Source organism: Homo sapiens, chromosome 17 (genome assembly GCF_000001405.40).
Source record: "Homo sapiens chromosome 17, GRCh38.p14 Primary Assembly".
Taxonomy (NCBI): Eukaryota; Metazoa; Chordata; class Mammalia; order Primates; family Hominidae; genus Homo; species Homo sapiens.
Window position 1 is genome coordinate 68,418,115 of NC_000017.11, and position 25,354 is coordinate 68,443,468.

Genomic DNA, 25,354 nt, shown 5'->3' on the forward strand with positions numbered 1-25,354 from the left:
ACTGGGAGTCTCCTATTTAGTCGTCCTTAAAAATTGTAAGCTGGACATTGTTGGTGATGCATTGTAGCAATTCTGATTTCTGTTACCTGAGAGTGTTGATTTTTGTTTTCACTGGCAGCTAATCAGTAGTCAGTTCCCTTGAACTTATAAAGCCTTAGTTTTACACTTTGTTAGGACGAGTCTTTCAGATTTTTCCCTTGATCTTAGGCAGATCCCTCAGTCCTGGGACACAGTCTCTACTCCTAGCATGAACTGTTTGTCAAAGCTCATGTCACTGCCCTGTACTGGCAATGAAGAATAATCAAATTCTATTCCAAACTGTAGGCAAAGACAACAACTATTAATCTCTACTGATCAACTTGACTCTCAGCCACAGGTGGAAAACCAGTAATAAAAAAGGGTTGTCTAAAGGCTTTGAGATCTACCCATTCTCCTAAATATTTCAAATTTTATTTCTGGCCAGATTGGACCAGAAGGCTGAATCCTTAGGTGGTATGGCTTTGCCCCTATAGACTTCCTTGTATTGAGTTGCATGTTGGCATCTGCCCTCATCATATAGTAAAGGATGTGATAAGAAGTCGTCAGTGGAACCATCCTAATCTCAGTTTTATTTTTCATAAGAATGCCAGTGAGCATTCCATCCTACAGGGTCCCCTGTAGGAGAAGGAGCCACTGGAAGAATTTCTCTCAGATTTTAGTGCCAGAAAAAGCTCTGCTTCTCCTGAGCAACTGATAAGTTTCTATCTCATTAATGTTTGGCTGCTGCTAAGCTCAGAAGCAAAGTCAGTGTTTAGGAACTCTTGTAATTTTGAGGGCTATCTTTTGCTTTAATTCCCTTTGTTTATTTAATTATGTCATATTTATTTCCATCAGACCCTTAACTGCTTTTTCTATAGCAAAGCCAAAAAAAAAAAAAAAAAGTCATCGGAATCATAAAGAGCCAAGGAAGCTGCTATCATTCCAAACATTTTTGTCCTTCCTCTTCTGGATGGCTTTCACAGCCAGATTCGAATCCACGTAAGACTGTCATCTTCAACCCAAAGTGAAATGACTCACCTGCCTTTCTACTTGATTCACCAATTGGTAGTCAAGAAATCGATTTTCAAAAAAATCAAATTTACTCCTAAAGGGCAGAGGTTAAAGATACTTTAAAAAATTATATCCTGGCTGGTGTGGTGGCTCACGCCTGTAATCCCAGCACTTTGGGAGGCCGAAGTGGGCAGATCATGAGGTTAGGAGTTCGAGACCAGCCTGGCCAACAGACCAGCCTGGCCAATATGGTGAAACGCCATCTCTACTAAAAATACAAAAATTAGCCGAGCGTGGTGGCAGGTGCCTGTGATCCCAGCTACTCAGGAGGCTGAGGCAGGAGAATTGCTTGAACCTGGGAGGCAGAGGTTGCAGTGAGCTGAAGATTGTGCCATTGCACTCCAGCCTGGGTGACAGAGCGAGACTCCAACTTGAAAAAATAATTATATCCTGATTTTGTGTCAATAAAGATACTTGAATGAATGTTCTACTGGCCCTGAAGGCGAGTTCAAGGAGAACTTCCAAATCATTTTAGTGTGGCTGCAGTGGTTCCTGCTGATAATCCCAGCATTTTGGGAGGCTGGGACAGGAGGATTGCTTGAGGCCAGGAGTTTGAGACCAGCTTGAGGAACATAGCGGGACCCTGTCTCTGGAAAAAAAAAAAAAAAGTTGGGCGTGGTGGTGCATGCCTGTAGCCCCATCTACTTGGGAGGCTGAAGTGGGAGGATCACTTGAGCCCAAAAAGGCTGAAGCTGCAGTGAGCTAGGATCACGCTACTGCATTCCAGCCTGGGCAACGAAGCCAGACCCTGCCTCAAAAAACAAAAACAGAAATGAAAAAAGCAAAACATTTTGGACCACAGGATCATCACTGGAAGGAGCAAATAGATTCTCAAGGTAATATTTCTTTGACAGAGAGAGCCATCATTGGAACATTTGGTTATCTGGTATGTTTGAATTAATGTAGAATCACTCGCAGCTCTCGTCTTTACAACACAGGGCAACTGTCAGGGTTAGCGAGGCATTTGTTGTCATTCCCTCTCTAGGTGGAGCCAGGGCGTGTGATGGGAGCACGGGGCCTGAGCTGCAGCATAAGTTTCCTCTGATTTTCAACCTGGAAGACGATACCGCAGAAGCTGTGCCCCTAGAAAGAGGTGGTGCGGAGTACCAGGCTGTGCTGCCCGAGGTCAGAAAGGTTCTTGCAGACGTCCTCCAAGACATTGCCAACGACAACATCTCCAGCGCAGATTACACTCAGGACCCTTCAGTAACTCCCTGCTGTAATCCCTACCAAATTGCCTGCCGCTGTCAAGCCGCATAACAGACCAATTTTTATTCCACGAGGAGGAGTACCTGGAAATTAGGCAAGTTTGCTTCCAAATTTCATTTTTACCCTCTTTACAAACACACGCTTTAGTTTAGTCTTGGAGTTTAGTTTTGGAGTTAGCCTTGCATATCCCTTCTGTATCCTGTCCCTCCTCCACGCCGACCCGAGAGCAGCTGAGCTGCGCTGGCTCTGGGCAGGGAGTGTGCCTTAATGGGAAGCACACGGGCTTTGGAGTCAGGCACAGGTGCCAGCTCCAGCTTTTGAACTTGGGCAATTGTTTAACCTAACCTGCAAGTTGATTTTGAGGGTTAAATAAAGGCATACATGAAAATGCCTGGCAAATTACCTGACACAGAGCAGACATTCAATACATTTTAGTTTCCTTGTTTCTCTGGTTCCCAGTTTCTCTGGTCATTTTGGTGTAAATCCATTCTAATTAGTATTTAGGGCAGAGCTTCTCTCTCTTTTCTCTTTTTTTCCTTCCACAAACCAGTGTACTCACTGGTCTCCATCTTTAATATGCAAACAAATCACCTGGGATCTTGTGAGAATCCGGATTCCGTCTCAGTAGGGCTCGAGTAGATCCTGAAATCCTACATTTCTATCAAACAATGCCTTGAGGAGCACAGATTTAGACCAAAGTTAGGTCGTTTTCCAGATCTCAGAGCAGACGAGTCCATGGATAAGTCTGTGGCCCAATCCCCTTCCTCTCCTTTTAAGGGTGAAATGACTGCATTTAAAAGAAGTTAAAGAGTTCCTCCTGTCCCCTATAACCACAAGGAAACAAAAAAATATATAAAAACCTCAAAAATGCATTGCCATGATTTTATTATTAGTGTCCAAAATGGGACTCCCAAGTAATAAATGATTTATTCCAGCCACAGCCAAAAAAGACTTTGCCTGGCTAAAAGAGTCTCTCTCTAAGTATGTAATATACAAGAAATACAATTCAAAGAGATGTTCCTATAAGTACATTTTTTACACGGCATATATTTAAAAAGGAGGCCCCTTTTAATATAAAATTCCGGTTATATACCAATATGGTTAATTAGCATTTACACTATAGTTTGAACGTATTTTAAATAGCATGATGTGTATACAATGTCTCCCGCGCCCATTGGCAACCAGGGTCGTGGGAAGCTTGGTGAGGAGTTAACCAGGTCCTGTGGTTTAAGCAGTGGAGCACCCGGGATTCCTGCCCCCCTTTCTGCTCACACAATTGCACTCCATTCTTCCGCCTTCCTTGTTTTCTCCAAAACCACCTGATAGGGGGGATGTCCTGATTTCTGAGGTGTGCTTCTCATCATGACTGCTTCGTTTTGCCCTTCTGATTTCCACGGCACAAGATTATCTACCAAAATCAAAACAGAATGGCCTTACTCTTCTCAGGAAGAGGCTGGTAGGCAGGTGCATTATCAACAGGTCTGTGCCCATGCAGAGTGAGCAGGGAGAGGCTGGGCACTGTGGAATTTTTCTGTCTGAACTCGCTCATGGCCACAGAATGGTCACCCAGCTTATTTAGGTGTAGACAAGTATGACACAGTTCTAGAAAATACTGACTATAAAAATGTCTCTGTGTGTGTGTGTATGTATTTATATGTATATGTATATATTTTTAAAAGGCTCATCTTACTTGTAAACATGGACTGCTCAATCACTATTAAAAAGTCAGTTTAGGCTGGGCGCGGTGGCTCACGCCTGTAATCCCAGAACTTTGGGAGGCTGAGGTGGGTGGATCACTAGGTCAGGAGTTTGAGACCAGCCTGGCCAACATGGTGAAACCCCATCGCTACTAAAAAATACAAAAATTAGCCGGGCATGGTGGCGCTCACCTGTAATCCCAGCTACTCGGGAGGCTGAGGCAGGAGAGAATCGCTTGAACCGGGGAGGTGGAGGCTGCAGTGAGCCGAGATCGCACCACTGCACTCCAGCCTGGGCGATGGAGCAAGACTCCATCTCAAAAAAAAAAAAGTCAGTTTAGGCTGGGCGCAGTGGCTCACACCTGTAATCCCAGCACTTTAGGAGGCTGAGGGGGGTGATCACCTGAGGTCAGGAGTTTGAGACCAGCCTGGCCAACATGGTGAAATCCTGTCTCTACTAAAAATACAAAATTTAGCTGGGCATGGTAGCATGCCTGAAACCCCAGCTACTTGGGAGGCTGAGGCACTAGAATCACTTGAACCTAGGAGGTGGAGGTTGCAGTGAGTGGAGATCACGCCAACACATTCTAGCCTGAGGGACAGAGTGAGACTCTATCATCTCAAAAAAAAAAAAAAAAAAAAAAAAGGGAAGGTCAGTTTATACCCTTGGGCCTGATTTCCTGACTCTTGCTCACAAGATTGGGACTAGTCTCACAAAATACAGAGACTTGTACAGGTTGGCTTGTTCCTGAAACAAAAGCTTCTCATCCTCCCGAATGTAGCAGCTTTCTAAGGCACCAGAAATGATCAAGTCTCTTTTCTTTCACTGCTCTCAGAGCAAAAGTAAATCCCAAGGAGGCAAGCGTGATCCTACGCAGGGAAGTGTCAGTATGTGTTCTGAAAAGATCACTAGTGATGACCCGCGTTCTTAAGGCAGCGGCTCACAGAGCTCCTGTAGCAGACTACTCAGGCAAGCCTATGTTTGTTCGTCACTACAAGAGAGGCGATTTTAACCAAGCTGAGACTCCAAGAGCCTTTTGTGGTCCTAGAAGATTTTAAGGAATGTGAGTAAAGATGTGAATTCTGCACAGAGATTTGCAATAGGCATGACAATTCAGAATAAGGAGACAGAGAGGAAGTTCCCTAGCATCCCTCGCTGAACATTTCTGCCAATTCAGGCATGACTGAGATGGGCCATATTGATAGAGCATCCCAGGAGCATGCATGCCTCTGGTCCTTACATGGTGAGATGGAGAAGCCTGCCTGCTACTGAGACAGTGCCTTAGTGGGAGCACTGCCCCTCATCACCATCTACCTGCAGGCTGGAGGGCAGACTGAGAGGTTGGTGGCTGCCACGACACAGCCCTGCACACAGGGGCTGCTTGACACTCACAAGGGTCTAACACCTGTTCTAGGGACCTTGTTCAGTGACCACTCTCACTGGCAGGAAGTATTTCTTGCGTATAAATAAGAATTCCTGATGCAATTTCAACCAACTTTCACTCATTTGGTCCTTAGGAGGGAGAAGAAACAACTGGCTCATGCCCAGCTTCCTGGCACTGAATGGGCACACAGGCCTCAGGACAAACTTTCTTACTGGTTCTTCAATTAAGCACCTCCCCTTTTCCTTTTTACCCCAAATAAATGATCTGCACAAGGTACCTATTATTTTATACAGGTTCTTTGGCAAGGAACTACCTCCTAGATACTAATATCCACATTACCCCAATTCTGTAACTATAAGAGGTTGCAAGGCTTACTGCGATTACAATTAAGAATCTAATAATATTTTATAGTAGTTACAGACTTTTACCAAAATTAGTGAAACGGAACCTAGTGAGTGTCTGGATGTGGTAAACCCTGACAGAGTAGAATGGTCACATTTGTCCCCACGGTGTCTGACCTAGAGTGCTCTGGATCCTGGAAGCCTCGACTTCAGGTAAATAACCACCGCCTCTTGAGGGTGCAGAAGAACGCCCTTTAAGGCCAGTTGGGGCCATGAGAACCCAAAGGTAAAACAACTGGTTTATAGTTAGGCAGCATGCCAACAGAGGTTTTGAAGTTTATAATTAGTATTTTTAAGAACAACTGCTCTCCGCCACTGAGATATAAACTTCACTTGCCAGCCACGTCTCTGACAACCTGCCTATTGAAAGCCAGAAATGTAAAAGCTCACGCTGCGACCGACCCGCAGAGCCGATGTGGGAAATCACAAAACAACAGCCCCAGCCCTGCATGCAGGGCCCCACCGCAGCTTTGTTTTCTAAGCCAAATGTGCTCACTAGAGGGTTCCACGGATCTGCGGGAGAAAGAAGCCAGACCTGCACTCCATCCTTTTACAATTGGAAGCTCAATGGACACAAAACAATGATCAGGAGAAGTTTCCATAACAAAGCCTAATGGACATTGTTTCAGTGCCCAAGTGGCAGCTCCTCTCTGGCTCTAGGAGCTGATGCTCCAAGTCTTGGCCCAAACACTACTTCCGGCCGGGTGCGGCGGTTCACGCCTGTAATCCTAGCACTTTGGGAGGCCGAGACGAGTGGATCACTTGAGGTCAGGAGTTTGAGACCAGCGTGACCAACATGGTGAAACCCCGTCTCTACTAAAAATACAAAATATTAGTTGGGCATGGTGGCGCACATCTGTAATTGCAGCTACTCGGGAGGCTGAGGCAGGAGAATTGCTTGAACCCAGGAGGCAGAGGCTGCAGCGAGCCGAGATCACACCACTGCACTCCAGCCTGGGTGACAGAGCAAGACTCCGTCTCAAAAACAAAACAAAACAAATCAGTACTTCCATCTCGAAATGATTTCAGGTTGACTATCTGGGATGTTTTGACTGAAGCTCACAAGAGCGGTCTATATGTTACTCCAGATGGGAGCCTGAAGAATCAGCAGTTAAGGAAGCCCCAGCAGGCTCTCAGGAGGGAATCTTGTCTTCAGTTCCAGGTGATGGAAGAAGCCACGCCCAGCACTCAGCCAGCCCCGAGGGCCCTAGCTGTGGGAACAGGCTGAGCAGGTTGCTGGGAAACCCAGCTAAAGGTGCTCGGGCAAGCTCCTGCCCTGCACCTGCTGCCCTCCACAGAGCACACAATTGCTTTTCTTTTCTTTTTGAGATAGAGTCTCACTCTTTCACCTAGGCTGGAGTGCAGTGGCACAATCAGAGCTCACTGCAGCCTCGACCTCCCAGGCTCAGGTGATCCTCCCATCTCAGCGTCCCGAATAGCTGGGACTACAGGCACGTGACACCACACCCGGCTAATTTTTTCTTTTCTTTTTTTTTTTTTTTTTTGGTGGAGATGGGGTTTTGCTGTGTTGCCCAGGCTGGTCTCTAACTCCTGGGCTCAAGCAATCCTCCAGCCTCGGCCTCCCAAAGTGCTGGGATTACAGGTGTGAGCCACCGCACCCGGCCACTTGTTTCTTAATGAGTGTCTGCAACTGCTGGGGAGGTGCGGGTCTGCCGGCCAGAGCTGCAGGTAAGTGAGGGTCAAGCTGGTTCACAGAGTGCAGCAACTCAGCTCAGAGTCCTGAACACACAGCCCAGCCCTCTGAAACCATCCCCTCCAGCACAAGGAAGGCAGCATTCTGCAAACGCATCCATGGGAGCCTCAGGAAAATAAGTTTTAGACAAGTCACGTGTTCCTACCTTCCAGGCAGCAAAGTCAGTGCTACAGAAGCAAAGTAAGGGATCGCAGGCCTCTGGCTGGAGGGAGGCCACCAAGACTCCCTGGATTAGTATTCGGTGACTCTAATGCCATCAGGGTTTAGCTCGACACCTAAAGCCTACTCTGTAGGATTCGAAGCACACAGTACAACAAATATCCTATGGCTTTCCAAATACTAGAGCAGAGAATTAGTTGTTATAGATTAGAAAACAGGGAAAGGGACTCTGCCTCTCGTATGAGGCGAAGGTTTCCTTCTAAGCACACAGACTGAGCCGCCCAGTTACGGGTTCCTAATGCTCACAGGAGGAAACTCATTCTCATCATCAAGACACACTGGTCCCGTCGCAAACTCATGTTCAGGAATAACTTCTCCTCGCAGCGCCCCGCCGTCCTCAGAATAACCTGGAAACCAAGAAAGAGACATGAAACAAGCACTGGGGATCTGCTTTTATGCCATGACCTGGCGGGTGGGGAGCGGGGGCTCAAATAAAGGGCAAAGGAAGCAAAGGGGCTGTCTGTCTTCCCCCTGGAGGTACTGTGCCTAGGACAAGTCATAATCCTCACCATCTGCCATCTTTAAGCCTGACCTGCCTTTCCACTTCAGATGCCTGAGGCATCCTACCTCTTTGAATTTTTCTTTGTTGAGGTAGGGTCTCAGTATGTTGCCCAGGCTGGTCTCGAACTCCTGAGCCTAAGGGATCCTTCTGCCTCAATTTAACTTCCTGAGTGGCTAGGACTACAGGCTCTTTGGAAATTTTAGTTTAGTTTTTATTTTTTGAAACAGAGTCTCACTCTTTCACCCAGGCTGGAGTGCAGTGGTATGATCTCAGCTCACTGCAATCTCCGCCTCTCTGGTTCAAGCAATTCTCCTGCCTCAGCCTCCGGAGTAGCTGGGATTGCAAGTGTGTGCCAACATGCCCAGCTAATTTTTCTATTTTTTAAGTAGAGATGGGGTTTCACCATGTTGGCTAGGCTGGTCTCAAACCCCTGGCCTCCAGTGATCCGCTGGCCTCAGCCTCCCAAAGTGCTGGGATTACAGGTGTGAGCCAATGTGCCTGGCCTCATTGGAATTTTTGAAGAGGCAAAGGGTTAACACCACTTGTTAGGAAAAAGACCGTATCGTGTGATGCCTTGCCAGGTTGAGGGTCCCAGGTTTAAAGGCTATTACCATGGCCTCACCTGTGAGAAAATAAAAAATTCAAGGAGAGCACTCCACCCCCAGGTAACAGTGAAGGGGGAAGGGGAGGGAGGGCACTCCACCCCCAGGTAACAGTGAAGGGGGAAGGGGAGGGAGCGTGCAGGGAGAAGGGGAGGGAGGTCACTGTTGGAGATGCTCCCCTGTTGGCCCCGTGTCCACCCACCTGGCACCGTGGAGGCTGAAGATGCACTTGGTCTGGCTACGGTCGCTGCATAAGACTGAGGTAAGGAAGGTCTGAGGTCATTTTCTTTATTCTCTTCTGTTGTTCCTGAGCCAAGCAAGCTACTTGTGACAATCAAGAGGAGGTGAAAGAAAAAAGAAATCATCATATATCTAGGACACCTTCCAAAGGAAAAGCATGAAGAAGCCTGTGCTCAGCTCTGTGGGTTATTTATTTATTTTTGAGGCAGGGTCTTGCTCTATTGCCCAGGCTGGAGTGCAGTGGCGCAATCTCGGCTCACTGCAACCTCCGCCTCCTGGGTTCAAGCGATTCTCCTGCCTCAGCCTCCCGAGTAGCTGCGACTACAGGCACCCACCACAGCGCCTGGCTAATTTTTGTATTTTTAGTAGAGACTGGGTTTCACCATGTTGGCCAGGCTGGTCTCGAACTCCTGACCTCAGGTGATCCGCCCGCCAACTCTGTGGGTTTAAATTGTAGACCTACCCACACGCTGCTGGGCCAGGATGAGCTGAAGTGACCTGCAACTGCCAGGGGCAGTCACACACCGTCAAAATGGCCTCTTTCTCTTACATTGGCTAGACAAAGATTAGTCCTCTGCTCTTCCCAGTACACACAGGTGAGGACATGCTAGCAAGGAGAGCAGCCATCGGTGGGGGGCGGTGGCAGCTCTGGTGCCCTGGCCACAGCAGGAGAGCTCAGTCTGTGCCTGTTCACAGAAGGCATGAGTGCTTTTCTTTTGTTTTCTTTTCTTTTTTGAGACAGGGTCTCACTCTGTTGCCCAGGCTGCAGTGCAGTGGTGTGACCACAGCTTACTGCAGTCTTGACCTTCCTGGGCTCAGGTGATCCCCCCACCTCTGCCTCCCAAGTAGCTGGGACTACAAGGCATGTACCACCATGCCTGGCTAATTTTTATATTTTTTCTTTTTGTAAGGATGGGGTTTCACCATGTTTCTCAGGCTGGTCTCAAACTCCTGAGCTCAAGCCATCCGCCCTCCTTGGCCTCCCAAAGTATTGGGATTACAGGCGTGAGTCAACATGACTGGTAGAGCACTTTTCAATTCCATGCAGGGAATAGGTTTTTTTTTTTTTTTATTTTGAGACAGGGTCTCACTCTGTTGTCCAGGCTGGAGTGCAATGGTGTGATCATGGCTCACTGCCTCAACCTCTCCAGGCTCAGGTGATTCTCCCACCTCAGCCTCCTGAGTAGCTGGGACTACAGGTGTGTGCCACCACAACCGGCTAATTTTTGTATTTGTTTTTGGTATAGATGGGGTTTCACCATGTTGCCCAGGCTGGTCTTGAACACCTGGACTCAAGCCATCCACCCGCTTCGGCCTCCCAAAGTGCCGGGATTACAGGTGTGAGCCGCCACACCTGGTGGCAGGGAATATTTTTGAACACCCACTGTGAGCTCAGGGCTGTGTTAGGAGCATAGGCTGAGGGGGAGACCATCTTGTGTGTTATTAATCCTGGCACTTTTCCAGATGATTACCACATGCTGAGGGCACCTGACACAGAGCCCGGTGCAGAGCACTTGCCCACTAGAGGTTTGCCACTGAGACTGCCAGTGAAGAACAAATCAATGCAAGGGCACTGAAGCTTGTCGTTCTTGGCGAAGGGACAACTCTACACGACCAGCTCTCGAAAGGCTGTCTTTTGAAAAGCAGTCTCTTCACCTGTGGGTTTTGATTAAGACACACTCTCCTCCATCCTGAGGATCCAAATTGTACATATAAAGGTGTCCACTGGATGACGCAACTAGCAGCCGTGGCAACTTCTGGATCCTAAGGGCCAAGGAAAACATAAACCGTGATGACAACGAAGATGGGCGATGGATTCGCTTCCAATGACAAAGCCCCCCTCACCCTAGCTGTCACCAGATTCTGCCTTTGACAAACCCTTAGCCCACTGATCTGGTCTGGGCTTCTGGCTATTCCTTTGCATTCTGGCCTTGGGATCTACTTTCAGGATTATTTCTTGTCTTTGAACGTGACAGTGTGGATGAGGCAAGTGAGTGTAGATGCTGCGACCCTGCGAGAAGCAATAGCTAGTGAACACATTAGCTCCCTACATGGGACGCAGTCTCCCTCTGACATGTGTCTCTGCCCTTAACCAAGACAGAAAGGGGGTAAATGGAGGATTGGCTTACTGTCTTTGCTGGTTAGTTTTGTGAAATTTTAAAAATGTTCAACTTTTGAATAAACTCCTTTAAACTTCTTAAAACATCTGTCAGCCCCATAGGAGTCCGAACCTAGAAAACAGATCTGGAGGCTTTTTACATAATTACATAAAAATAAGAATTGTTTTTAAGACAGTGTCATTATAACCAGAAGGCTAAAATTCCCATGCCAACTTCTGGCTGCCCCCTGAGAATCCGTATTGAAGTCAGATAGGAAAAGCAGGGGTTTGATTCCGCTCACCCTTCCTTTGGGGCAAGTTTTCTTTTTCTTTTTTGAGATGGAGTCTTGCTCTGTCGCCCAGGCTGGAGTGCAGTGGCATGATCTCGGCTCACTGCAACCTCCGCCTCCTGGGTTCAAGCGATTCTCCTGCCCCAACCTCCCAAGTAGCTGGGACTACAGGCACGCACCACCATACCCGGCTAATTTTTGTATTTTTAGTAGAGACGGGATTTCACCACGTTGGCCAGGCTGGTCTCAAACTCCTGACCTCAGATGATCTGCCTGCCTTGGCCTCCCAAGGTTCCGGGATTACAGATGTAAGCCACCGTGCCCAGCCTGGGGCAAGTTTTCTTTTTTTCTTTTCAGGTTTGGGGATTTTTGTGCTTTGGAAAAATACATTGACGAAAGTGTGGTCTTGTTCAGAGTGGGTGTCATTGTACGTACGTTGAGAGGGTACAGATGTTCCTCTGTCCGGAGAAGTTCAAGCGTGCAGTGGCAAAAGCCCTGTCCTGATGCATCATGTCTGACACCTGGGTAGGGAGGTAGTTGGTAGCAGCCATAAACATCTTTCCCATGTAGCCACTCCAGGTCGAAGGCTCTTCTGGTCGACTAGGGAGTAATGCACAGGCAACGATGGGACTGGGCTGCAGGCCCCACACGCACCCAGGAATCTCCACACCCAAGCGTCATTAGCCACACTCCCCGCAGCAGGGAGAGACTGTGCCTTAGCATAATGTTCTGCCCACTGAGAACAATCCAGGACGTATTATTCTGGCAATAACTAAAGAGCATCAAGGGCTTGTTTGTTCTTCAGAAGAGCCATTGTAAAGCTGTTAAAAGGTTCCCAATGCTACTGCTTTCCCCTATTAAAGAAGGCTTATCTGATGACTAGTCTGATTCCTAGATTTCCAGAAGAGAGTTAGGGTAGAGAGTGAGATGGACTTGATATCCAGGTACCATTAAATAAGCTTGGGACTGTGCCGGGCTCATGGAAGAACAGACAGATCTCAACGTGAAGGCCTCCTGAGCCAGACTGAGTGGGTAGCAAACCTCCGGGCAAGACACTTTGGGTGGTGTTTGATTGTAGATAACCCTGGAGTCACCCAGGTACCCAGCATGTGTAATGATGGAGATCATGCAAAGGGACCTGGGATGTCGCCTACAGTCATGGAACTTCATCCCAAGGCCTCTGCCAGACAAAGGGGGTGACTGTTCTGTTGGTGAGAGACAACCCCCAGCTCTGCCCCACACAGAGGGTGGCACATTGAGAACCAAGGTTGCCATATGAGTTCCCAGGAGCAGGCAACTGCTGAGAGGCTGCTTGTCTGCAGGATTAGGTCCTGGTGGGAAGCTCGCCCTGCAGCTCAGAGCTCTGGGAGGTATTCTTTACTATGCTACCAATGGGCTAGGGGGTCTTTGGACAAACCTCTCTGGGCCTTCATGTTCTCATCTGAAAGTGACTATGCTAGGTGCACTGCTAGGGTTCTGTGATCCGAAGCATCCTGAGACATCCTTGTACTGTCTGTCCCACAGCCCTGTGCTCCGGGCTGGGGTTTACAAAGAGGTGTACGATCCAGACCCTGCATTCCAGATTGAGAGAGCACGGGTGTATACAAAGAAAAACCACGTGAGCAGTTAATATGCGGTGCTGCACAGATGGTCCAGGCAGGAGCTAGTCCAGGACCACAGAGGAAGGGAGAGGCGGATGAGGTTCCTTAACGTTTCCGTGTCCAGATTTCCTCATTTGGGAAACAGGAATCATCATCACAACCTCCCTGACAGGGTTGCTGGGAGAACTAAGGATGCTGGGGACTGAGCATGGAGCCCGGCACGTGGCGCATACTGTTTTATGGGATGGTGTCTCTGTGGCTGGAGGAAATGAGGAGGTTCTGGGGGTGGTGGCTGCTGGGCTCTGCAGCAGGTCTGACTCAGGGGGACGGGAGGAGCTGGGACTTCATTCCCAAGGTCAAAGGGGAATAAAGGTGTCTGAGGAGGAGGTGTCATGTTCAAAGGGACATTTTCAGAAGATTAATCAGCAAGATGATATAGGATGGACTGGTATTGGTTGAAAGAGACTGGAAAGTCAGACCAAATGTAAGAGTAACGGCTGGACCAGCACGAGGTGCTAAAGACACGTTCAAGGGCCCTGGCCAGCGAAGCAGGGCTGAAGAGGCACGTGTGAGCCGTAACCGCCGGGGACATATGAACACCCGTGGACAGGTTGAGCGGAGAACCCAGAACAGCTTGGAGGTTCTGCTCCTGGTCACCTGTGCTCACAGACAGAAACGGGAGAGCCTGGAGTGGAAAATCAATCTCTGATAATAATCCCCAGTGGAGGCGGGGCTGCAGCAGCAATTGCGATCACTCACTCGTGGAACCTTGGGGTTGAACGGCATCTTAACAGCTCAGCCGCCCTCTAGTGCTCAAACCCATGACAACAGATGATGAATTAAGGCTCCAAAAAAGATCAGGGCTTAAGAAGCTGTCTGAAAAGTGAAAGAAAATCCTAAAAAGTGGATATAATCTCCAGGGAAAGAGTAAAAAGAACCTCAGGACAAACAATGAGCTTTGGGTTACACCTGTGCAGATTGGGGGTTGGAAAGTTCTGGAAAGATGAAGGAGCGAGAAGGGAGCCGCCCCCAGTGTTTCATACACCACTGGGGGTGGGGGGAGACAAGGATTCTAGAGATGAGGGGACGTCAGTCCCATGGCTGTGATATGTGACATGGCTCAGGTGACCTCAGGCAGCGTGGGCTTGCTTTAATCACACATGCCTTTAAAAATAGCTTTCTCCAACTGGTGGCAGAAAAAGATGGCAGAAGGGCAAGTCAGAGAAATCTTGGCACCTCTCTTTCAGCCTTGTGTCATGCTGAGAAGAAGACCCAGTCCTGCCATTCTGGGCTGCAGAACTGTGAAATCATAAATGTGGCTGTTTGCCTATAGTCCCAGCACTTTGGGAGGTTGAGGCGGGTGGATCATGAGGTCCGCATGTGTCAGCATTGATAAGGTGCCCGGCCTCTGTCATGTATGTGTTAGCATGTATCAGCGTGATAAGGTGCCCGGCCTCTGTTACGTATGTGTTAGCATGTATCAGCGTGATATGGTGCCCAGCCTCTACACCTTCCTCTTCTGAAACTCCATCCAAGGGTACCAGCAACCAACTCCCCAGATACAGTAGGCTTTCTGTCCTGATCCTGCCTTTCTCTGCAGGTTGGGGTAACGTTTTCAAAGCGCTCTTTCTCTAGAATCCTTGCCCCCCACCGTGGGGTATGAAACACTGGGGGCTGCTCCTTTCTCACTCCTCCATCTTTCCAGAATTTTCCAACCCCCATTCTGCACAGGTGTAACTCAAAGCTCATTGTCTGCCCTGAAGTTCTTTTTACTCTTTCCCTAGAGATTTTATCCATTTTTTAGGCTTTTCTTTCACTTTTCAGACAGCTTCTTAAGCCCTGAGAAATTGCAGGTGCTTCCCAAGCGCTCAGTGGTGCTGCTGGCAACAATGATAAATAAATATATTGTTATATTTACAGCTATATCAGCTAACACTTCTTAGTGCTTCCTATGTGCCAGGCACGATGCTGAACACTTTAGATCTGCAGACTCATTTAATACTACTGTTATGTTCATTTTGCAGATGAGGAAACTGAAGGACACAGATCTAAATTATCTTCCCGGGATCTCTGGGCTCCTAAGAGGCAGAGCCAGGACGTGAACTCACGTGGGTGGCTCCCAGTTTTTTGCTTTTGTGCATCATGCCTCCAAAGTTTTGCTAACACACACTCCATCACTTAGGTGAAGTCCCAAGTGAAGCCAAGATTGGGTGTTCAGAAAGAAAAGAGATCATTCATGCCAGTAGAAGAGCCTAGGCCTGACTCCTTTCGTTTAATGAGCATTTGGTGCCCCGCGGAGTACTTGCCTGTTGGTGACCTGTTCCAGCTTGAAGATGTGTACCGTCTCGGTGTTACTGGAGGCGCAGAGGAATTGTGAATCCATACTGAACACTAGAGAGCTGATTGTCACATACCTACAAGCACAGCAACACATGGGTCAGTGAGCAAGAGAAATGGGAGTTATGGCCTTATAACTCAGAGATCAGCTTTATAAGAAAATCAGATGTATCCTGAAGAGCCTAGGTAGACCCAGATCCCTTAAACACTGTGGTGCTCATATTTAGAAATTAATGTCAGAAAGATTCACAAAGGGTCATAGTTTTTTTTTTTTTTTTTTTTTTTTTTTTTTTTTTTTTTGAGACAGAGTCTCTCGCTCTGTTGCCCAGGCTGGAGTACGGTGGCTTGATCTCAACTCACTGCAACCTCTACCTCCTGGGTTCAAGCGATTCTCCTGCCTCAGCCTCCCAAGTAGCTGGGATTACAGGCACACACCACCACACCCAGCTAATTTTTGTATTTTTAGTAGAGACGGTGTTTCACCATGTTGGCCAGGCTGGTCCTCAGGTGATCTGCCTGCCTTGGCCTCCCAGAGTGCTGGGATTACAGACGTGAGCCACCGCGCCCGGCCCATAGTCTTATTTATGTGAGAAGAAACAAGGTATAGCCCTGCCTCTGTCAGCAGAAGGGAGGAACTGTGCCTTCCTGGCATCTTGGAATCTTCCAGTTGCTCTGTGCACTGATCTGGCTGCAAACCTACATCCGATAAGATCCCAAACAGTCACACTTTACATCGTCCTTTATTTCCATGGAAGGAAATCAGAAATTATTTTTGGATTGTGACTCCCTGGCTCTCTCATTTCTCCTGTGCCGGCCGCCCACACACACATCAAAAAGGGACTCTCACGGCTGAACTGTGTTAAAACAGCATCTCGGCTTTCAGTTTTGCTGAGCCCTAAGTAAAGCCTGGGAGTCAATTACCTGGGAGAGTAGTTACACTTCCTCCAGGTGAGTGGAGGGCACAGAGCCACTCTCTGTCCTCTCCCTAGACAGCTGCCAGCGGTCCCTGCGGGACTTCTGCGGGGACTTTAAAATGGGTTTGACATTGAACACAGACCTTTTCATCCCTCTCCGGAACTCATAGAGCTTTTGCCCATCAGGGACAGAGAACACCCGGATGACTGTGCCCTGGAAAAGAAAGCAGGTGGACATTTCATAACCATTAGTGGCTTTACACAGAGATGTCCCTTTAGAGAGGAGTTTGTTTTATTGGTTTTGAACATCTGTCTCTGAGGAGGAAGAACACCACGTTGAGCATAGAGGCATGTTTATTTATGTGCCATATCAACAATTCTTGGAAAATGTTATAAACACCCTCTGTCTACCTTTTCCCTTCCACCTGTGCCCAAGGCTCTGCGTGTATGTGTGTGTGCATGTGTGTGTTCACCCAACTGCTCTGGTTTCTTAGAATTTCAATTTGAGGCCGGGTGTGGTGGCTCACGCCTGTAATCCTAGCACTTTGGGAGGCCAAGGCGGGTGGATTGCCTGAGCTCAGGAATTCAAGACCAGCCTGGGCAACACAGTGAAGTGAAACCCCGTCTCCACTAAAATACAAAAAATTAGCCAGGCGTGGCAGCATGTGCCTGTAATCTCAGCTACTCGGGAGGCTGAGGCAGGAGAATCACTTAAACCTGGGAGGCGGAGGTTGCAGTGAGCCGAGATTGCGCCATTGCACTCCAGCCTGGGCGACAGAGCTAGACTCCACCTCAAAAAAAAAAAAAAAATTCAATTGGATCACTTTCTCTGATTATTCCAGGCAGAAGACATCAATTTCTCTAAATAGCAAAGTAAAGCATTTGGTTTGCACTGTACTGTGTTTATAAGGTGTAGCATTTGTCCGTCTCTACGGCTGATGTACACGTACATTTCTTCATAAGACCACGAGTTTTCATGCAAAGTGTCTTGTATCTTGCATATTGCAGGCCCCTGGCCTATTGAATTAACAAATGCATGAATATACCACACATGCAGAGGCCAGAAATTCTCCCTCTGAAACAAATTCTGAGTGGGCCCAGAGACCAGTCAGTCTTCATGTCACCAGGTTTGTTCAATCCCATCCCTGCGCACGGCAGGAGCCATCCAGCGAAACCCAGACAGAGGTGTTGGTGGGAGTGGACTCACTTTTTCAGACGCACTTGCTAGTTTGGAGCCTGAGGCATTGAAGGTGATGGCAGCTAGTGTTCCCTCATGGGCAGCAATAGTGCAGACTGTTTTCTGTTGGTGAAAAGGAAAAATGGATACAGATGCTGCGGAGGAGGGAAGATGGATTTCACCTCCCTCCCCTTCCTCTTTTCTCCTTTCTCCCTCCTTTGTCCAGCTCCCTGTCTCTTCCTCTGTCCCCCAGGCCATCTGCATGTAAGCTGTGTGTCATTTTCTGGTGAATCAAGATTTGGCTTCAAGGGCCACTCCATTTCCATCCCTTTTCCTGCCCTTGGGAAGGTGGCCACGAACGGAGCACCTGATGCAGTGTGATGCCGTCGCAGGCGCGCCCTGCACGCATCTTTAGGCAACTTCCCACAGCAATCTTGTCCCGCTCAGGGATGCCTCAGAGACCAGAGGGCAGGGAATATGAAACACCTGCACACTGTCTCAGGCTGTGGCATGGGACAGGGTGACACATTCAGGGAGACAACTGGCCCCCTGCTGGCAAGTGGTTTTCATTATGCTGCAGATGTCTAACTTGGCCTGGCCAGCTGGCTTATGGTGAGGTTGACTCACAGCAAGCCCGAGGGGAAATAGTATCACCTTCTCTTGAACAACTCCCCAGTATTGCTTACTCCCACCGCCTCCAGCCCCCGACGGCAGGGCGTCCTTATCTATCTCCTTCCATGACCACACAGCCAAGGCAGGTGGGTTGGCTCAGCCAGGTCACCGTCAACTTACCAGGGAGTTTCCATCATAAAGCACAATCTCCCCTGAAGTCAGGCTTCCAGGATAGGCCAGGTAAGAATTGGAATGGTTGATAGAGAGAGCACATAGACCTGGCAAAGAAGAAACAGAACATGAGAAGCCTGGGGCCAAGGGAGAGATTGCACGGCTGGAGAGGGCATCTGAAAACAGTACAGCTACAGTGCCACCTACTGGCAAGGGGAGGAATGGCTTTGCAGACAACTGCTTTCCGCTGATGATTCTTCTGATTAAGGCTTCCAATAAAGCAACTTCACAGGGGAAGACCTCCTGATTTAACACTGGCTGCGTCCTTGCTACAGTGAAACAATGAGACTTGCCGGGCACAGTGGCTCATGCCTGTAATTCCAGCACTTTGAGGCGGGCGGATCACTTGAGGTCAGGAGTTCCAGACAAGCCTGGCCAACATGGTGAAACCCCATCTCTACTAAAAATACAAATAGCTGGGCATGGTGGTGCGTGCCTATAGTCCCAGCTACTTGGGAGGCTGAGGCAGGAGAATCGCTTGAACCCAGGAGGCAAAGGTTGCAGTGAGTGGAGATCGTGCCACTGCACTCCAGCCTGGGCTACAGAGTGAGACCCCGTCTCAAAAAAAAAAAAATATATATATATGTGTGTGTGTGTGTGTGTGTATATATTGCTCATTTTTACATTTTACCCCAGGACTCTGAAACAGCATCTACTTTTCTTCCAATTCCATTATCCTCTAGGGTTACAAGAGATTTCCTCAAAACTGAAATAAATCTTCCTATAGTGAAAAGTCAGTACATATTGGTCTTTCTGCAGATGATTATATACTGTTGGCCAGTAACTTCAAGTTGGAGAAGAGGAGCTGCCAAGAACCTATTTAGAAACTGAGAAATTTCAGGCCAGGCAAGGTGGCCCACACCTGTGATCCCAGCACTTTGGCAGGCCGAGGCAGGTGGGTCACCTGAGGTCAGGAGTTCGAGATCGGGCTGGCCAACATAGTGAAACCCTGTCTCTATTAAAAATACAAAAATTAGTCAGGTGTGGTTGCATGTGCCTGTAGTCCCAGCTACTCGGGAGGCTGAGGCAGGAGAATTGCTTAAACCTGGAGGTGGAGGCTGCAGTGAGTGAAGATAGTGCCACTGCACTCCAGCCTGGGTGAGAGTGAGGTTCTGTCTTAAGAAAAAAAAAAAAAGAAACCGAGCAATTTCTGAGCCAAATGCCCTGCCTTGATAAGGGAAATGGGTACCTCCCGAGGAGGAAGTTTATTTGAGGTCTGCGTCTGCAGTCAAGATGGTGTGCCTAGACATTGAGACAAACTAAATAAAGAGGACATTTTGGATTTAAGATGCTTCAATAATATTCCGGAAGAGTAAACAGCCCATCAAACCACTGAACCAACATAAGCTGTTTTTATTTATAAGGGGATTCAAGAAGGGAGCATTTAAGTAAAGGATTTTCAAAACAATGGTTTAGATGAATAGAGGTGCACATGATAGCAGTGAATTCCAGCAATTCCATAGAAACCAAAGTGTTACCAGAAACTTTGAGATCACGCAAGAGAGACATCTCTCTTAAAAAAAAAAAAAAAAAAAAAAAAAGTGACTGGCGTCTATTACAAGTTAGTATATTAAGTGGGTTTCTTCTAAAAGTATAAGAAAAAACTTTAGGTCAGGCTGAAACATACCTCAACTAATCTGCTGAGGAAGGAGAGCAAAGGAAAAAGAAAGTAAACATTTAGAGTTGGAACCTAGGTCTCATTTCCTGCTCTGGCTTTGCTGAGTCCACAGCAGGGCTGTCCTCTTATCACTTGCCATGCATAGCTACGGGAGGAAGTGGCTGAGCCCCGGAACCTTTAACTGCACGTTCTGGCAGCCCTGCCACCCCTTTGGCGATACAAGGTCATTCCTGGCCCCAGCCTTAGAAGAGGCCACTCGTCCATTTCCAGTTTTGCTCTGGAAACCCCAATTCCTCACCCCTTCTGAATTCTTTGCTATCCAAATGAAATTTCAAGAACAGCTAGGCAGGCAGAAGGGATTCTAGTCTTGTGAAACTGGGGAGGGAAGGCAGTCAGGAGATCTGGTTGTCTTGTGTGCTGGGTTCCCAAAGAGGCGGCTGGCAGAAAAGATGTGAAGACTGTGGAAATCTTACAAGGACTAGCGTACCAAACTAAAGAGTTAAGACCTTACAAATGCAGTGTGTAACTGCTGAAGGTTTCTCAGCACATATGTTTTGCTTTGTTTTTTGAGATGGAGTCTTACTCTGTTGCCCAAGCTGCAGTGCAGTGGTGCGATCTTGGCTCACTGCAACCTCCGCCTCTTTGGTTCAAGCGATTCTCCTGTCTCAGCCTGCCAAGTAGCTGGGATTACAGGCGTGTGCCACCACGCCCAGCTAATTTTTGTATTTTCAGTAGAGACAGGGTTTCACCATGTTGGCCAGGCTGTCTCGAACTCGTGACCTCAGGTGATCCATCTGCCTCGGCCTCCCAAAGTGCTGGGATTACAGGCGTGAGCCATCGTGCCTGGCCTAGCACATATGTTTTTAAAAAGGCTGTGTTAAAAACACGATGAGATACCACTGTACAACCACTAGGATGACTATAGTGAAAAAGACAGATAAATGTTGGTGAGGATATGGAGAAACTGGGATCTTATGCACCGCTGGTGGGAATGTAAAATGGGGCAGTGCTCTGGAACGTTTAGCAGTTCTTCAAAAGCTAAACATAAAGTTCTCATATGACCTAGAAATTCCACTCCTACATATACACCCAAGAGAAATTTAACATATGTCCACACAAAAACTTGTATATGAATGTTCATGGCAGCATTATTCATAAGTCAAAAAGTGGAAATAACCCAAATGTTATCAACTGATAAATGGATAAAGAAAATGTGATATATTTTTATAATAGAATATTATCCAGCAAGAAAAATAAAGTATTGATACATGCTACAACACAGAAGAACCTTGGAAACATTAGGCTATGTGAAAGAAGTCAGTCACAAAGGAACCGATATTGTATGAGTCTCCTGATATAAAATGTCCAGAATAGAGAAATCCATAATCTAATAGAGACAGAAAGTAGATTAGGGGTTGCCTATGGCTGGGGGCATAGGGAGTGATGGCTTAGAGGTACAAGGTTTGGGGCGATGAAAATGCTCTAAAATTAATTGTGGTGATGGTTACACAATTCCGTGAATATACCAAAAGCTATTGAACCATGCATTTTAAACGGGTGAATTGTATAGGATGTGAATTTTATCTCAAAAAAGATTTTCAAATTTTATTTTAAGGCATGTTTCAGGAATATTTATCTGGTTAGAGATAGGCTGAGGACATGAGTTCAAGACTGAGGTCTGCTATGTACTGTGAAACTCTGGCCGAGTTATTTGCTGCTCTTTCAGGCCTGTTTCCTGTCTGTGAAATGAAGGCTACCGTGATATAGAGGTCTTTCCAGATTTAACACTTCAAGATGCCAAGCCTTCGTTTCTTACTTCTTCCCTCTGAAAATACTGGGCGTGTCTTTGTGGCAGAGAGAGCTAAGCAGTCTTGGAGCAGAAGCCTTGGACGCATACCTCCAGCTGTGCTTCAGAGTCTTATGTTAAAACATAAATATTCCCAGAAGGGAAGAAACGTTTAAACTTTCTAAGCTAATATTGAACTTTCTGCAATACCTATTATAGAACTGGTTGACACTAGATGCTAACAAGAAAGGGACAAAGGATAAGAGTGAGGGCAGGCATACTCTGACACATACCACTTATTTGACAGTTTTGCCTCCAGGCTCGCACCTCTACCAATCCATCTGAATTTAGACAAGGAATCCTGCCTTCCTACCCTTACAGACTTAATGAAGGTCCCCAGAAAAGCCTACTGTGACTTCCCTATGGCCCAAGTGTCAGAAAAATCCAACGAGCCACACGAATGTATCTTCGTATCTTGGGAACCACCCAAGGCAAGCAAGAAGAGTTTTCCTTAGCTTGGCTATTGCCATTCTGCCAGTCTCCTCTTTCTGTTACAGGTGTTACACAAAGCCTTTTTAAGGAAGGATATGGGCTTTAAAAATATTATTGTATAATATAAAAGTGATGGTGTAGAACATTTGCAAAGCCTAGAAAATATAAGGAGAAAAAAAATCACCCACAATTCTAAAACCCAGAGGCTTTTCACTGTTCTGAACATCTGAGCATATTTTCTTCCAGTCTTTTTTCTACCTAGGAATGAGGTTCTGATGGGGCTTTTGGATGTGTTATAGCTTGACACATATTTTCATAAGTCACTGGCAGCTATAATTCCACTGTAATTGTTTGGCTGTAATTCTTCTACAGCTGGAAAAGAAGTGCCTGCTCTCAACTCAAGAACCAATGGCATCATCAGTGGAATTCAAAGGAAGTCCCATGATTCTAAATGATTCTCATCTTGGTATTTAAAGTATTGCATGTCAAACTTTAGGTAAGTTAACAGTGATTTATAAAATGCAGTTCCCTCTGAGTTGATTAATGTCTCAGGTTACGCTTTCCGATTTTCAAAAATAGAAAGACATCTTCTTTGTACAGCAAATGCCCTATGCTCCTACAAAAGGGAAGCATTTATACCACTTTTATTAGCATTTTCAAACAAGAAAGAGGTCTTGCTGGGGAAGAAACCATGAACTGTTCAATGATCTGCATTGCTGTGTGGTATGGAACGCTCCCTCAATATCCCATAAAAGGTGGTCAGCTCTGTGACCACCTCCTCCATACTGGGAGGTCTGCAGTTGGCAGGACTTTCATGGAGATTTCCACCCTTGACTGCTCAGAGCAGACTGCTGTGCTAGCAGGAAATTAACTTCGAGCCCCTGTCTGGCCAAGCTCTTTAAAGGAAACAGCCTGCAATCTCTGACACAACAGGAACGGGCATGACACAAACAGACAGAAAGAAGGAAATTTACAGCTGCGTTAGATACCAAGTGTGAGGCAACAGGCGAACTCTGTATAGCTAATTTACTTGTAGTTTATGAAGTCAAAATGCATTCAGGATTTGTGTGCTGAAGACAATTAGACGAGTGATTGTGTCTTCCTTCTGTACCCAGCAAGGATTTATAAAATCAACAGTCACAGTTTCCATCTTATTTCTTTGTTCAGAAAATAAACTAGAGGATGAGAACAGATAAGGCGACTCCTGGCCTCTGGGGAATGTATAATTGGCAGGGCGGAGTCCTCTGAAGGTTCCCGAGTGAGGACCTGGTCATGTCACTGAAGCGCAGCTCTGACCTGTGCAAGGCTGTCCTATGGGACAGAGAGGGCTGCGGAGTGAGTCTGACTGCCCGCATGGACAGGGCGGACCCACCTTTGCCCACCCAGGCCACAACCTCAGGTAACGCTCTCCGTGGCAACTCTGGGGGCTAAAAATGATCATCTCCATTTTACTGCAGTAGAAAGGGAGCTCAGGAGAAGTTGAGGTGATAATTATAAACGTGAGCATTTAAAACACCTTGGGCTATATCTCCAAAGAACATCAGAGGTCTAAAAAGACACAGTTTGCTCCTGGTCTTTCAGAAGAAATACTCAACCTATCCCTGGATCCTTTCATAAGGAGGCATTCTTTTATCTGAGACAGAGGAAGTCTCTGCTATTGTTTCTCATTTTTCTTGAGATAAAATCGATTCCCTTTACAAACAATATACACTGTCTCTAACAGGGAACACAAATAGCCCTGCACTTTTAAACCTTATTTTCTCTCTGTTTAAGCTGCAGAAAGTAAGGCAACCAGTGAGTTTTCTGAACTACAGAAAAACAACTATATTTGCTAAAAAATAAGAGTAAATGGTGGCTAAGTATGCTGACTCATGCCTATAATTCCAGCACTTTGGGAGGCCAAGGCGGGCGGATCACTTGAGGACAGGAGTTCAAGACCAGCCTGGCCAACATGGTGAAATCCTATCTCTACTAAAAATACAAAAAATTAGCTGGGTGTGGTGGTAGGCACCTGTAGTCCCAGCTACTCAGGAGGCTGAGGAATGAGAATCACTTGAATCCGGGAGGCGAAGGTTGCAGTGAGCTGAGATTGCACCACCTCACTCCAGCCTGGGCAACAGAGTGAGACTGTGTCTCAAAAAAAAAAAAAAAAAAAGGAGAAACATCTGTTTGCAAGGGAGGGTGCTCAGTCCTGAAGCAACCCTGTCCTCTGGGGGTCAAGTGTGCAACAGGTGTGAGGAGTAAGTGGCATTTACTGTCCACTCCCCTCTCTTCAGAGAAACTGAGAGCCACAGGCAGCTTCTAGCTTTCTGCATGCCCGATGTCCCTCCCCAAATCCCTGAAGGCCCAGCTCAGGCCCTGCCAGCCTCAAGCTCTATGCAGATTCAGGGGCCTCTCATTCCTGATCAGAAGAGCACATGCTCCCTTCAACTGTGTCCGCACCCCAGAGTTAAACATGGTTCCACCCCTGCCAAAGGCTGCTGGCGCACCTGTCTCAGACCACCTCAGACAGACTGTTGAAGGGAACTCGTGACAACTAGATTTTGGGCTCCTGGTATGAGGTTGCCTAATGGTGCCTACTATGGTGCCAAGCACAAAGAATGTCTGCAATAGATACTTGTCCAGATGATTTCAGCCTCTCATTTCTAAGGGAAAAACTTACCACCCACAGCTTCTTCACGTACCGTCTTCCATTTCAGAAAATGTGCTTCAAAGTCATTATCTCACAGAACTCCCTAACAGCCTCAATGGCTTTGTTCTTTTATTTATTTATTTATTTTTAATTTATTCATTGTTTTTTGAGACAGAGTCTCGATCTGTTGCCCAGGCTGGAGTGCAGTGGTGCGATCTCAGCTCACTGAAGCCTCCGCCTCCTGGGTTCAAGTAATTTTCCTGTCTCAACCTCCCAAGTAGCTGGGATTACAGGCACTCGCCACCATGCTCAGCTAATTTTTGTATTTTTTTGGTAGAGACAGGGTTTCTTCATGTTGGTCAGGCTGGTCTTGAACTCCTAACCTCAGGTGATCCACCCGCCTCGGCCTCCCAATGTGCTGCGATTATAGGTGTGAGCCACCGCACCCGGCTAGCTTTGTTCTTTTAAAATATCCTTTTGCCATAGCTGAAATGTGAAAGCACTGAAA

The 25,354-nt window shown here is 47.1% G+C and overlaps 3 protein-coding genes and 1 non-coding gene across 45 annotated transcripts in view, besides 2 other annotated features; 2 read left to right on the plus strand and 2 right to left on the minus strand.

Annotated features, from left to right (window-relative positions):
- Positions 1 to 25,354, plus strand: part of ARSG (arylsulfatase G) — a 192,850-nt gene that overhangs the window by 158,945 nt on the left and 8,551 nt on the right. For 17 of the 38 annotated variants that reach the window (XM_047435632.1, NM_014960.5, XM_047435649.1 and 14 more), the window contains one exon: positions 2,075 to 4,617. In XM_047435632.1, coding sequence (XP_047291588.1) covers positions 2,075 to 2,349 — 275 coding nt within the window. In that variant the 3' untranslated portion in view covers positions 2,350 to 4,617. Of the gene's footprint in view, positions 1 to 2,074; positions 4,618 to 10,305; positions 11,262 to 22,586; positions 23,408 to 25,354 lie in introns of those variants that run through there. The other 21 variants (XR_007065287.1, XM_047435639.1, NM_001352904.2 and 18 more) reach the window with 6 other exon arrangements.
- The window catches only part of PRKAR1A (protein kinase cAMP-dependent type I regulatory subunit alpha), a 137,694-nt gene that overhangs the window by 4,492 nt on the left and 107,848 nt on the right, over positions 1 to 25,354 (plus strand). The gene's annotated exons all lie outside the window — the stretch shown is intronic.
- The window catches only part of WIPI1 (WD repeat domain, phosphoinositide interacting 1), a 36,216-nt gene continuing 14,028 nt past the window's right edge, over positions 3,167 to 25,354 (minus strand). For 3 of the 5 annotated variants that reach the window (NM_001320772.2, NM_017983.7, XM_017024808.2), the window contains 9 exons: positions 18,268 to 18,365; positions 17,506 to 17,598; positions 16,442 to 16,512; positions 15,354 to 15,461; positions 11,882 to 12,046; positions 10,715 to 10,822; positions 9,021 to 9,139; positions 7,961 to 8,061; positions 3,167 to 3,706 (listed from right to left, as the gene is read on the minus strand). In NM_001320772.2, the coding sequence (NP_001307701.1) occupies positions 3,659 to 3,706; positions 7,961 to 8,061; positions 9,021 to 9,139; positions 10,715 to 10,822; positions 11,882 to 12,046; positions 15,354 to 15,461; positions 16,442 to 16,512; positions 17,506 to 17,598; positions 18,268 to 18,365 (911 nt within the window). In that variant the 3' untranslated portion in view covers positions 3,167 to 3,658. Of the gene's footprint in view, positions 3,707 to 7,960; positions 8,062 to 9,020; positions 9,140 to 10,714; positions 10,823 to 11,881; positions 12,047 to 15,353; positions 15,462 to 16,305; positions 16,513 to 17,505; positions 17,599 to 18,267; positions 18,366 to 25,354 lie in introns of all 5 variants that reach the window. The other 2 variants (NR_135470.2, NR_135471.2) reach the window with 2 other exon arrangements.
- Positions 6,337 to 6,434, minus strand: MIR635 (microRNA 635). The gene has a single exon (NR_030365.1). It is a non-coding gene; the product is annotated as a microRNA 635 (primary transcript).
- Positions 17,926 to 18,426: an enhancer, noted in NCBI's record as "H3K4me1 hESC enhancer chr17:66432181-66432681 (GRCh37/hg19 assembly coordinates)". NCBI's record gives its function as "activates a minimal SCP1, AML or CMV promoter by ChIP-STARR-seq in naive H9 embryonic stem cells {active_cell/tissue: H9 hESC(naive)}" and the evidence as "EXISTENCE:reporter gene assay evidence [ECO:0000049][PMID:30033119]".
- Positions 20,143 to 20,232: a silencer, noted in NCBI's record as "silent region_8900". NCBI's record gives its function as "represses an Ori minimal core promoter by ATAC-STARR-seq in GM12878 lymphoblastoid cells {active_cell/tissue: GM12878}" and the evidence as "EXISTENCE:reporter gene assay evidence [ECO:0000049][PMID:35858748]".